This window comes from Homo sapiens, chromosome 2 (genome assembly GCF_000001405.40).
Source record: "Homo sapiens chromosome 2, GRCh38.p14 Primary Assembly".
Taxonomy (NCBI): domain Eukaryota; kingdom Metazoa; phylum Chordata; class Mammalia; order Primates; family Hominidae; genus Homo; species Homo sapiens.
The window spans coordinates 207,529,744-207,542,994 of record NC_000002.12 but is presented as its reverse complement, the minus strand read 5'-3'; the positions used below and the strand labels follow the sequence as shown (position 1 = coordinate 207,542,994).

At 41.4% G+C, this 13,251-nt stretch overlaps 1 protein-coding gene across 19 annotated transcripts in view, besides 6 other annotated features; it reads right to left on the bottom strand.

Moving 5' to 3' along the window:
• The window catches only part of CREB1 (cAMP responsive element binding protein 1), a 76,027-nt gene extending 62,994 nt beyond the window's left edge, over positions 1–13,033 (bottom strand). For 14 of the 19 annotated variants that reach the window (NR_135473.2, NR_163946.1, XM_011510646.4 and 11 more), the window contains exon 1: positions 12,861–13,033. The gene's annotated coding sequence lies outside the window, so the exon portion shown is untranslated. The remainder of the gene's footprint in view (positions 1–12,860) is intronic. The other 5 variants (NR_163947.1, NM_001371426.1, XM_047443436.1 and 2 more) reach the window with 1 other exon arrangement.
• Positions 10,315–10,814: an enhancer, noted in NCBI's record as "H3K4me1 hESC enhancer chr2:208396905-208397404 (GRCh37/hg19 assembly coordinates)". NCBI's record gives its function as "activates a minimal SCP1, AML or CMV promoter by ChIP-STARR-seq in primed H9 embryonic stem cells {active_cell/tissue: H9 hESC(primed)}" and the evidence as "EXISTENCE:reporter gene assay evidence [ECO:0000049][PMID:30033119]".
• Positions 10,815–11,316: an enhancer, noted in NCBI's record as "H3K4me1 hESC enhancer chr2:208396403-208396904 (GRCh37/hg19 assembly coordinates)". NCBI's record gives its function as "activates a minimal SCP1, AML or CMV promoter by ChIP-STARR-seq in primed H9 embryonic stem cells {active_cell/tissue: H9 hESC(primed)}" and the evidence as "EXISTENCE:reporter gene assay evidence [ECO:0000049][PMID:30033119]".
• Positions 11,725–11,894: a silencer, noted in NCBI's record as "silent region_12280". NCBI's record gives its function as "represses an Ori minimal core promoter by ATAC-STARR-seq in GM12878 lymphoblastoid cells {active_cell/tissue: GM12878}" and the evidence as "EXISTENCE:reporter gene assay evidence [ECO:0000049][PMID:35858748]".
• Positions 12,605–12,654: a silencer, noted in NCBI's record as "silent region_12279". NCBI's record gives its function as "represses an Ori minimal core promoter by ATAC-STARR-seq in GM12878 lymphoblastoid cells {active_cell/tissue: GM12878}" and the evidence as "EXISTENCE:reporter gene assay evidence [ECO:0000049][PMID:35858748]".
• Positions 12,685–12,814: a silencer, noted in NCBI's record as "silent region_12278". NCBI's record gives its function as "represses an Ori minimal core promoter by ATAC-STARR-seq in GM12878 lymphoblastoid cells {active_cell/tissue: GM12878}" and the evidence as "EXISTENCE:reporter gene assay evidence [ECO:0000049][PMID:35858748]".
• Positions 12,905–13,004: an enhancer, noted in NCBI's record as "active region_17041". NCBI's record gives its function as "activates an Ori minimal core promoter by ATAC-STARR-seq in GM12878 lymphoblastoid cells {active_cell/tissue: GM12878}" and the evidence as "EXISTENCE:reporter gene assay evidence [ECO:0000049][PMID:35858748]".

Here is a 13,251-nt window from a genome sequence, read left to right as displayed (position 1 = left end):
TTCCCCATCGATACCAAGGGACAACTGTGCTTCAAATTAAAATGTTTCACTCAAAATTATTTCTCGATTTTCATCTTTGCTTCTTTCATCTGTCACTACAAACTGAAGGATATGGACACAGAATAAAGGGAAGGCCTGAGGTAGGTGGATTATAACTCCAAATACACATTAGTAGCTTCAGTTATTTTTCATTAAATAATGGTATCTTGTTTGCCTGGGCCTTCACAGAGATCAGAGATATTTTTTAAATGTTTATAATAAACAAGAATTTATGATATACACAATATAACACCAAAACACAAACAAGAAAAGAAAAATTAGATGAACCGGAAATCATAAAAATTAAAAACTTTTGTGCTTCAAGAGACACCATCAAGAAAGTGAAGACAACCCACAGGAGAAAATTTTTGTAAATCATGTATCTGACAAGAGATTTGTATCTAGAATAATAAACAACTATTACAACAAAAAGCCAACCGAATTTTAAAATGTGCAAAAGATCTGAACAGAAATTTTCCCAAAGAAGATATACAAATGGCCAAATCAGCACATGAAAAGCAGCTTGATATCATTAGTCGTGAGGGAAATACAAATCAAAACCAAACTGAGCTACCTCTTTGCACTCAGTAGAATGGCTATAATTGAAATAAACAAAAAAACAAAAACAAAAACCCAAAACCCCAAAAAACAGATGATAACAAGTGTTAGTGAAGATGGGGGAAAATTTGAACCCTAATACACTGCTGGTGGTGCAGCAGATTGGAAAACAGCCCGGCAGTTCCTTAAATGGTTAAACACAGTTACCATAAAATTCCATTCCTGAGTATATACTCAGAGAAATGAAGGCAAGTCAACATAAATGAATGTTTATGGCAGCATTTTCATAATAATCAAAAAGTCCAATGTCCGTGAACTCACAAATAAAATGTTCTATATCCATAAAATGGACTATTATGGCAATAAAAATGAATACTGATACATACTACAACATGAATAAACCTTGAAAACATTATGCTAAAGGCAGCTCATCACAATGGACATTATGCTATATGATTCCACTTATACACAATGTCCCAGAATAAGCAAACCTATAGAGACACAAAGGTGATAGGTGGTTGCCTAGGGCTGCAGGTATGGGGAGATTAAGAGGTGATGGCTGAGAGGAGATGTGTAGATTTCTTTTAGGGATAATGAAAATGTCCTAAACTGATGGTGGTAATAGATGCACAACTTTGTGAATATACTGAAAACCACTGAACTGTACACACCAAATGGGTGTATTGTAGAGTATGTGAATTATATTTCAATAAAGCTGTTTAAAAAAGAATCTATGATGTCCAATTTTTAACTGTAATACATATACAGTCATGTGTCACTTGATGGTAATATGTTCTGAGAAATGCATCATTAGTTAATTAGGTTAGAAAACAAAACCTAGATGGTATAGCCTACTATGTACCAAGGCTACATAGTATAGGCTACAAACCCATACAGCATGGTATTGTACTGAACACTGTGGGGAAATGTAACACAACGGTAAGTATTTGTTATCGAAACATATCCAAACATAGAAAAGGTACAGTAAAAATAAAAGATATAAAATATAAAAGATAAAAAATGGTACATCTGTACAGGGTGCTTATCACAAACGGAGCTTGCAGGACTAGAAGTTGGTCTGGGTGAATCAGTGTGAGAAATGTGAAGGCCTACAACATTACTGTACACTATTGTAGACTTCAAAGGCACTGTATACTTAGGCTAATTTTTTTTTTTTTGAGATGGAGTCTTGCTCTTGTCACCCAGGCTGGAGTGCAGTGGCACGATCTCGGCTCACTGCATGCTCCACCTGTGGGTTCAAGCTATTCTCCTGCCTCAGCCTCCTGAGTAGCTGGGATTACGGGCGCCTGCCACCACACCTGGCTAATTTTTGCACTTTTAGTAGGAACAGGGTTTCACCATGTTGGCCAGGCTGGTCTCGAACTTCTAACCTCAGGTAATCCACCTGCCTTGGCCTCCCAAAGTGCTGGGATTACAGGTGTGAGCCACTGTGCCCATCCAGGCTACACTAAATTTATATAAACAAAATTTTCTTTCATCAGTAATACATTAACCGTAGCTTACTGTAACTTCATATGCTTTTTAGTTTTTTTAACTTGTCAACTCTTTTGTAATAACACATAGCTTAAAACACAAATAAATTGTACAGCTGTATAAAAATATTTTTTCTCTAAAGGGTTTTTAAGTGAAAGCAAATTTAGTAATAAAGTAAAGCAATAAAAGAATCTAAGGTTTTTTCCTTTTTTTTTTTTTTTTTTTTTTTTTTTTACTTTTTAAACTTTTTTGTTAAACTTTATTTTTTTGACACAGGGTCTCACTATGTCACCCAGGCTGGAGTGCAGTGGCACAGTATCAGCTCACTGCAATCTCTGCCTCTTGGGTTCTCCTGCCTTGGCCTCGTGAGTAGCAGGGATTACAGGCATGCACCACCAAGCCCAGTTAATTAATTTTTGTATTCTCTGTAGAGACAGGATTTCGCCATTTTGCCCAGGCTGCTTGAAACTCCTGGGCTCAAGCAACCCGCCTGACTCAGCCTCCCCAAGTGCTAGGATTACAGGCGTGAGCCACCATTCCCGGCCACTTTTTAAAATTTTTTGTTAAAAAGACATTCACACGTTAGCCTAGGCCTACACAGGGTCAAGATTGTCAACATCACAGCCTTCCACCTCCACAACGTGTCCCACTGGAATGTCTTCAAGGGGCAATCACATGCATGGAGCTGTCATCTCCTATGGTAACAATGCCTTCTTCTGGAATACCTCCTGAAGGACCTATCTGAAGTTCTTAATAGGTTTGCTTACACTAGCACAGGACCACTGTTGTATATGCAATCTGTCATTCACCAAAACGTTCTTATACAGTGCATGACTGTATATCTCTGTCTACACTAAGGAGAAGAATTGGGAGTCAGGAAATCTACATTTCAGCCCAATTTATCATTGTATTCCTGTTTATATCTTACCTTCTCTTACATGAAACTCAAAGCTCCCTGCCTCATACTCAGCATTCCTCAAAATGTAGATCTATAATCTAATACTTTCTTCACCAATTTATGAGTATGTCAAGTTCATTATATGTCCATGTTTTCATTTTTTTGTCCATTCCACTGCCTAGAATACACTCCATTTTATCTGTACTTACTGAAGTTCTTTAGTATTCAACTTGAATTCTACTTCTCCCACAAAACTTTTCCTCACTAAGCCCCTTCTCTTCTGAACTCTGTAGCTCTTCAAGACAGTAAAAACTCTGTCATGTACTCTGGCACATATAAATCATTCTTACACTATTTCATCATCCCTACTATACCGTAAGATTCTTGAGGGTAGGAGCCATATAGTCAGGCTTTATTGCTTATATCAACTAGAACAATCTTCATTTAATACCTAGGTATTTTTATAAATACCTAACTGAATAAATTTTCTTGCGATTATTTCACCAACCATAATAAAGTCAATGGTCAATAAATCTTCACTGAATAAATGATTGATAAATGGCAATACATAAAGTCAAGGTGTCACCATTGATCACAGCAAACAATAGAGCTACTACTGATACTTATTATAAGAAAATGACTCCCCTTTAAGAGTACAAATAGGGCTGGGGGCGGTGGTTCATGCCTGTAATCGGAGGCTGAGGCAGGCAGATCACATAAGGTCAGGAGTTCGAGACCAGCTTGGCCAACATGGTGAAATCCTGTCTCTACTAAAAATACAAAAAAAAAAAAAAAAAATTAGCCAGGTATGGTGGCACATGCTTGTAATCCCAGCTACTTGGGAGGCTGGGGCAGCAGAATCGCTGGAACCCAGGAGGCGGAGGTTGCAGTGAGCCGAGATCACACCACTGCATTCCAGGCTGGGAGACAGAGCGAGATTCCTCTCAAAAAAAAAAAAAAAGAGTACAAATAATTCAGAATAATCTGTAATTTTCACTTCAGTGGTGAAAAACAAGGTATTTCTGTGTCCCCTACTGCCAACTACTTACTTATACCAACAGGGATAACAGCCCTCAAAAATAATGGTTATTTAACCTTGGGTAAATTACAAACATTTTTAGTTACATCTGTACTGTCATACAGTTACAACCAAAAACTCACAAGTAGATAACCAGATCCTTAGAAATTCACTTAAAATTGATGAAAGAAACGTCTTCATTTCAGAGAAGATGCACTAACCTTTGGGAAAAGACACATTCTATCATCATTGGTATAAGTCAACTTTCAGATCCACTCTACTCCTAAACTATTTTATTAATAACTTCCCTTTTAACCCTTTCTTATCTAATCAAATGTCACTTCTCTTCTTTCAGAAAAAACTCACCATCAATTCCTTAGACCTCATCCTCTCAAAACCTCGCCCCTTTTAAGATTATTTTTTAGAGATCCTAGAATCATCCAAGAGGAAGAAAACTGAAAGGGTGTTTTTCATCTTTGTTCACACAGCTAGTCTCACGGTAAACTCCTTTATCACCTTATTTCAACTCTAAGAAAAGGCAACTTAGCATCTGTAAGTTCATCAAGGAGTACTACTGTTTATTTTCTTTTTTAGGAGTTGAGATTATGTACCTAGCTTCAAGAATTTTTTAATACACAGTGATTTTTCATCACTGGAGATGTATAATGCACGTATTAAATTATAGGTAATTATTCATCACTGGAGAAACTGCCTTCTCATCTGTTGGAATAAACGCCAGAATACGTTTTTCTAAGCTAACATCTTTCTGGTAGCCTAGAAGACAAATGAGGAAACATCTGGGCAAAATATAATACAGGGTAAGCATCCCTAATAAAACATCCAAAATCTCAAACTTTTTGAGCACTGACATGATGCCATGAAAAATTCCCACACCTGACCTCATGTAACAGTTCACAGTCAAAACTGTTTCATGCACAAAATTATTAAAAATTTTGTATAAAATTACCTTCAGGCTATGTGTATAATGTGTATATGAAACAAATTTCATGTTTAGACTTGGGTCCCATCCCCAAGATAGCTCATTATGTATGTATATGCAAATATTCTAAAATCTGAAAAAACCCAAAACTGGAAATACTTCTGGTCCCAAGAATTTCAGATAAAAGATTCTCAACCTGTAAAACCTATCTTCATAGGGCCTTGTCTGGCAGAGCTTAAAAAGAGAGAGAGAAAAGGCAAAACAAAAAACAACAACAAAAAAACCCAGTAGATAAGACAAGAGTGTGTATATATTAAGGGGAGTCAGACATTCTGAATGTGAATAAAAACTAACGTCTATTCTTATTTAAGTTTTGTCTCAAAAACCTACATTTACAGATGTGATAAAACCACACCTTCTACTTACAACTTCAACAAGCTGACCAGCATCTGGCTCTTCTATAATGACTAAACTAGCATATATTTAATTGGCAGAGAAAAAACAACCACGTTCACATTATCAGTTTGCTGCTTTAATGATCTTTGCCTCCACCCCAAGAGGCAATCCACTGATGATTCCATGACACTGTGGGAAATCATTTAACTCTGTTAGTCTACAGATATGTTCCAGATAAAAAACGTTCTGCCTTTACAGATTTCAATGATCTACCCCACCCCCATCCCCAAATATGTAAAGACAAGCACTTTGTAGGCCAGGCGCAGTGGCTCACGCCTGTAATCCCACCACTTTGGGAGGCAGAGGTGGGTGGATCACGAGGTCAAGGAGATCGAGACCATCCTGGCCAACATGGTGAAACCCTGTCTCTTTAGCTGGGCATGGTGGCAGGCGCCTGTAATCCCAGCTACTTGGGAGGCTGAGGCAGGGGAATCGCTTTAACCCAGGAGGCGGAGGTTGCAGTGAGCTGAGATCGCACCACTGCACTCCAGCCTGGCAACAGAGAAAGACTCCGTCTCAACAACAACAACAACAACAAAGCACTTTGTAAACATTTTAATCATTTAGCAGGTACAAATAGCACACAGTAATATTTTATTTATGAGATGGCATCTTGCTCTGTCACCCAGAGTGGAGTTCAGTGGGGTGATACTGGCTCACTGCAACCTCCACTTCCAGGGCTCAAGCAATTCTCCTGCCTCAGCCTCCCAAGCAGCTGGGACTACAGGCGTATACAACTATACCCAGATAATTCTTCTATTTTTAGTAGAGATGGGGTTTCACCATCTTGGCCAGGCTGGTCTCAAACTCCTGGCCTCAAGTGATCCGCCCGCCTCGACCTCCCAAAGTGCCGGGATTACAGACGTGAGCCACCACGCCTGGCCAAATAGCACATAGTAATATTTTAAATCAAATATTAGTAAAACCTCAAAACAATATTCTTACATTAAAAACTTTGTATATATGATCAACGCATAAACACCAACTTGGGAATACAAAAAACGAAATATACCATGACAGCTTTTGTTTTTTTCTTAAGACAGAGTTTCGCTCTTGTCGCCCAGCCTGGCGTGCAATGGTGCAATCTCAGCTCACTGCAACCTCTGCCTTCCAGGTCCAAGTGATTATCCTGCCTCAGCCTCCTGAGTAGCTGGGATTGCAGGCGCCTGCCCCCATGCCCAGCTAATTTTTGTATTTTTAGTAGAGACGGGGTTTCACCATGTTGGCCAGGCTGGTCTCGAACTCCTGACCTCAGGTGATCCACCTACCTCAGCCTCCCAAAGTGCTGGGATCACACAGGCGTCAGCCACCGCGACTGGCCCATGACAGCTTTACTTAATGATGTTTTCTGGAAAGAGATTTGTGCCCTTGCTGCTATATTATTAATCACTTTCTGAGTTTAATCAACTCAAAAAAGTCATAGTGTGTACATTTTAAAGATAAATACAAACAGCATGTATATTTAAAATGTACTACAGCATTCGGGCATGGTGGCTCACGCTTGTAATCCCAACTCTTTGGGAGGCTGAGGCAGGTGGATGGCTTGAGCTCATGAGTTTGAGACCAGCCTGGGCAACATGGCGAAACTCTGTCTCTACAAAAAATTAGCCGGGCCTGGTGGTGCGCGCCTGTTGTCCCACTCACTCAGGAAGCTGAAATGGGAGGATGGCTTGAGCCAGGAAACAGAGGTTGCAGTGAGCCAAGTGTGTGCCACTGCACTCCAGCCTGGGTGATAGAGCCAAACCTTGCCTCAAAAAAATAAATAAATAAAAATAAATAAATAAATAAATAAATAAAAAAGTATTGTAGCTCAATGCTGTTTCGAAAAGCTAGAGGAAAAAAAAAAGGTAGTGAAACGCATTTTGTGCTTTGGCTGAAATACGTATTACTTGGTCCAACTGGTTGACCAAAGGTTTCCCCACGGGGGTAAAAAAATCATCTATGCAGTAAAGTTTATCATCTCAGCAATCATATAGGTGAATCTCACTATTTTTAAATTTAGGTACAAAATATAAAACTCACATAATTACATTAAGAAATACTAGAAAATCGTCAAGGTAAGTTAACAAGTATGTAAAAAATAAATGAATGCAGGGAGAAATCTAGTATAGTAATCAGCCTTACTGGGTAATAATATCCCATGAGCTGTCTGTTAAAAAAAACCCAAAAAAACACCGGACTATATGAAATGTTCTTTCTCATTAAGAAAGAAAGCTATAAAAACCTTTTGGGCCAAAATAATAATTGAAAGAAGTAGTCTGTTCAGAACTGTAAGAACCTCAACAAAAGAGTTAAATTCACCTTGTGAGTTAACTCTTAACCTGGCTTGCTTGCCTCCTCATGTACATTTTGATCATTTTACTAAAACTTTTAAAAACTGGAGTTAAACAGGAAATGAGGGACTTTAAATAACAATTTCCTGTCACAAACTATTTATTTTTCATTCAAATAGAAAGTTTTTCATTTAAAGAAATAAAGGCAAGATGGCAGTTTCCCTTAGTTTAAAAGGTAATATAAGACCTAAGAATAAAAGCAGCTCACTAACTGGTTAATACAGTCTACTTACATAATAAAATGCTTCCAATTGTATGTTAAAAAATGAAGAAGCTCTTTATGTGCTGATACAAAATTGCTAAGCCATATTAAGTGGTGGGGGTAAAGCATGATATAGGAGAGCGTATACCTAGTATGCTACCATTTGTACAAAAAGGGGGAGACTGTACATACATATTTGCTCGTGTTTGCATAAAACACCTCTTAAAGGACAAATAAAAAATTGCTAACACTTAGGTAATAGGGCAAGAGAATGTAGGGCATTTTGCTGTTATTATGTTTTGAATTATAGATCATGTGAATGAATTACTTATTCAAAAAACCAAATTAGAAATATAAAAAATATACTCCTCACTTCACCAAAGGTGATCCCTTTTTCCTTTGACTGCTTTCTTTTGACACATATTTTGCCTTAGTCACTGTGTCCCCAACAGTTCCTGAGGGTAGAGATAAGACAGCGTAATTCATCTTTGGATTTGTTGTAGCTTCTGACCCACTGTATTACATATAGTAATAATAAATAATTTAAAAAGTAACAGACCAGCTGGGCGTGGTGGCTCACGCCTATAATCCCAGGCATTCAAGACCAGCCTGACCAACATGGTGAAACCCTGTCTCTACTAAAAACACAAAAATTAGCCGGGCGTGGTGGTGCATGCCTGTAGTTCCAGCTACTAGGGAGGCTGAGGCAGGAGAATCACTTGAATCCAGGAAGCAGAGGTTGCCGTGAGCTGAGACTGCATCACTGCACACCATCCTGGGCAACAGAGCAAGACTCCGTCTCAAAAAAAAATTAAAACAAAAGAAAAAAGCCTTGTCAACACTTGAGCACTTGACACTTGCACAATGCCTGGGACTTAGTATGTATTACTTTATAGTTAACCCCCACAATTCTGAGGTAGTTGTTCTACACTGATCAGAAAGGAAAGTGAGGTATTAAGAAGTTAAGATAACTTGCCTAAGGGCCCACAGGTAGGAAGTTAAAATAAAGCTTAAGGGACTAGCTATCATTAGTTGTAGCCCTAAGGTACTTTATGTTTATCTCGCAATCTTATGAAATAAGTAGTAGTATTCTAATTTTACATATAAGGAAACTGAGGCTGAGAAAGATTAAGAAACTTCCTTCAGGACACAAAATTCCTTTAGGGTGGGTACAGGATAGCAGTGGCAATGCTTGGATTCAGACCTAGGCCTATGATTCCAAACCTCATGCTCTTTCAACTACATTCTCTGTCACAGTGAGTGCCAAATAAATATTTGAATTACCATAAACTGCTGTCTCAAGTGATACTGCAGTACAGATGAGTTTACACATGGGTAAGAAAAAAAAAAATCCTGCATTTTTCCATCTTGACATCTCATTACATTCTTAAATTTAGATTTGAGCTCTATTCAATAAAGAAGCCATCAAAGTTACACCATATATCAAGATATTTGCAAAACTATGTCACAAGCTGGCTGTAAACAAGTTTATGTAACTCATATCTGATAAGCTATTTATGGAATAAATGAAATTATAAATTTCGGTAATATATTGTAAGCATTAGGTTAAAAATAATTTTCTGTTATAAAAAGTAGAATTTAAAAACACGTGAGGAAGACATACTTGGTTTTACTATAACCCCATAACCATACTGTATCCAAACAAACAAAACCAAATGTCTTAGAATGAGAGAGAAATAAAGCTACTTCTCTATGAAGAACCCAAAATTTCTAATAATGAGACCTAATCAAGAATATGAGTTTCAGAAAGTAGAAAAAGGTGCCATTTTTATGGATCAGGTGTCTAAGTTTCTTCAGGCTCTTTATGTAAACAAAAAAAAAATCATTCAAAACAGGTAACACTTAAGTTTTAAATTCCCAAAGAAGTGTTCTTTTAACATTCTTCAAGCAAACTCTGTCAAGTAATTTATTAGCTTTCTAAATGTAGGTGTTCATGAAAAAAAAAAAAAGATTCAAGCAGATCCAGCTGTAATTTTTATCCATGGCTGGAACAGTGCAGAAGTACAATTTAGTAACATGTTCCAGGTGAATGTTCAAGTATTAATGAATACAAGTTTGAAGTTTCACCTGGAATTGCTAAGAATCACAAATTATGAATGTATAAATAATAAAACAGGCCGGGCGCGGTGGCTCACACCTGTAATCCCAGCTACTCGGGGGGCTGGGGCAGGAGAATTGCTTGAACCCGGGAGGCGGAGCTTGCAGTGAGTGAGCCGAGACCAGCCCACTGCACTCCAGCCTGGGCAATAAGGGCCAAACTCCGTCTCAAAAAAACAAATAAATAAAAATAAAAATAAAAAATACAATTTAAAATATCTCTCGGGCAAGACTAAAGAAAGAACTTATCAGTAAACTTTTTTTTTTTTGAGATGGGGTCTCGCTGTCACCAGGCTGGAGGGCAGTGGCGCGATCTCGGCTCACTGCAATCTCCACCTCCTGGGCTCAAGAGATTCTCCTGCCTCAGCTACCCTAGTAGCTGGGATTACAAGCACGCGCCACGACACCCAGCTAATTTTTGTATTTTTAGTAGAGACGGGGTTTCACCATGTTAGCCAGGATGGTCTCGATCTCTTGACCTCGTGAGCCGCCTGCCTCGGCTTCCCAAAGTGCTGGGATTACAGATGTGAGCCACCGCACTCGGCCATCAGTGAACAATTTTTTAAAAATCTCACAAATGAAGAGTCATATATTCTTTCTTTTTTTTTTTTTTCTTTGAGACGGAGTCTTGCTGTGTCGCCCAGGCTGAAGTGCATGGCACGATCTCAATTCACTGCAACCCCAGCCCCCCGAGTAGCTGGGATTACAGGCGCGTGCCACCACACCCGGCTAATTTTTGTATTTTTAGTAGAGATGGGGTTTCATCATGTTGGCCAGGCTGGTCTTGCACTCCTGACCTCAAGTGATCCGCCCGCCTCGACCCCCCAAGTGCTGGGATTACAGGCCTCAGCCACCGCGCCCGACTTATATTCTTAACAAGAAAAAAAATTCTACTCTACTGATAGTGGCTTGCGGAACAACATAAAGGAAAAATGGTAAGCTACCATTATCAATACTATAATTTTTTCAGTGCTCGGAAATAAAATCATTTCCCCAATCTTTATAGAAAACCTGCCTTTATTGCCTCTTCTTAATTTTCTTGGAAATGACAAATTGCCAATGTGGTCTTTTAAAGAGAAGCAATACAGCAAAGCACGTTTTGGAAAAGTGACTAGAATACAGAAAAATAAGACAGTGCTTCTGCTGCCAATCAATATTTGTTCTTAACCAGAAGGTTTGTACGTATCAATCACAATGCAATCATACAGTGACAGACAAGTATTTTTAAAACAAACTTGTTCGTCTTTTGCACCACCTAAAATAACTGTTCGGGGCTTTACTTTTAAATCACGAAATGAGCCATAAATGTAAAAGATTTCAATAGGCAGCAATCAAAAGTATCTTCTACTAAACCTTCAGAAGTTAGACGCCAGCTGAGGTTAGAATTATAACTTGAGATGGTATTACAAACTTAAATAGGTCATACCGCACGTCCTTCAAAAACTGTCTTTTAATTTTTAATGTGTCAATGACTTTTCTGCTGTCCTCTTTTCCCAACAGGCGAAGAAAAAATACAGCTTGTGGCTTAAATTGTCAATCTCAAGACGGGGGTTACCTACTGCATGAGACAAATAATGGATACTTTAATGTCTATTTTTAGTAGTAGTATTAAATCAATCTCTCATTAAAGTTCACACAGAAATTCGTGGGAAATATGGTAGGGGGAGTGGGACGGAGGGTGAGGGGAGATCCAGATGACCCAAACGCGGTTGGCAAGGTTGCACCCCGCGAAATGATGTAAAACAAGAGTACATCGGCTGATACTCGTTCCAACGAAGTGTTTCAGAATGATAGATCTCAAGTGATGATTACCTTATTAAAAAGGGTTAAAACCGAAACTGTTTTCAAACACCAGCTTCCCTTTTATAAGATCCCAACAGTTTAAAAAGTTATTATAAATGTTTTTCTTAGCACCCTTTCTCCCAAAAAGCATGCATTTCCATGACTGACTTTAAAAAAAAAAAAAAAGCAAAGGGGTGAGGGAGTCAAAAATTCCCCCCAAAAGCACAAGCTCTCATCTCTCAACTAAGCAACACAGGGCAGAAAGCAGCATTTCCTCAACGGTGTAGGAGCGGGGGGGAAAGGGCACGAATAAAATACAGCACGAGAGGAAACCTTGGGTTTCGAACTTTATTGCACAAAGAGTGGAGAGAAGAGTAGGTCAGACGTTGCAGCTCTTCCCCTTGCGAAGCGGGCATGGCAGGCACCGAAGCCACCGGGAAGGCAGCAGGCACCTTCACCTCCTCTGCCCTCAACTGTCGCCTTCTTCCTCCTCCATCCCCCACCGGCACCTAGGCGGCGGCTGCCCCGGAGGCCCGGCCGGGTCGGGCCGGGGGCGAGGCGGGCGGCGGGGGCCGGACGAGCGAGCGGCGCGGGGGGCAGCGCCGGGCCGAGCGGGCGGCCTCCCCCGGGGCGGCTCCGGGTTCCCGGCTCCGCGCCCGGCCCGGCGGCGGCGGCGGGAACGCGGGCGCCAGCTCGCCGCGGCCGGCCGCCCGCACACACCCCCGGCCGCCGGCTCCCACCCCGCCCGCCGCCCGCCGCCCGCCGCCCCCCGCCATGAGCGCCGCCGCTGGCTGCAGGCAGAGTCGCTGCCGCCCCGGCCGCCGCTGGCTCCAGTCCGCCGCCATTATTCTTTGTTCGCTGCGAGCGGCGGCGATGTTGTGGGGCTCGGGCGGAGGCTCCATCTTTACCGCGGCCCCTCCTGCGAGGGGAAGGCCCCAAGCGCGGGTGTCCGGCGCCTCCCCGTCCCCCCTCCGTCCCCCCGGCTCTCTCTGGCTCCTGCCTCCTCCTCCTGCTCCTCTTACCGGTGGTACAAGCTCCTCCGTCACTGCTTTCGTTCACGGCCCGGATCTCGCTGGAGTTTTATTCTCTCCCCCACGTAACACACCGCGTCAAACTACACCTCCGCCGCGTCACTCACCAACACTCCGCTTCTCCCAGCCGCCCGGGCCACAGGCAGCAGCAGCCGCCGCCGACTGAGGAGCCGCAGCCAGGGAGCCAGCCAGCGCCGCCCAGTGCCGAGTGCGCAGCGGCCGCGCACGGAAACAGCCGAGCTAGGCCCGGAGCAGCTCGAGCGGCCCCGCCCCCGCGCTGGGGACGGAACTTGCCGAAGACCTTCGGGTTTCTTCGGGCGACGAGAAGGGGTTCCGCGGGGAGAGGGAAGGCGAAGGCGGGCTGAGCCCGGCGCCGGGAGGA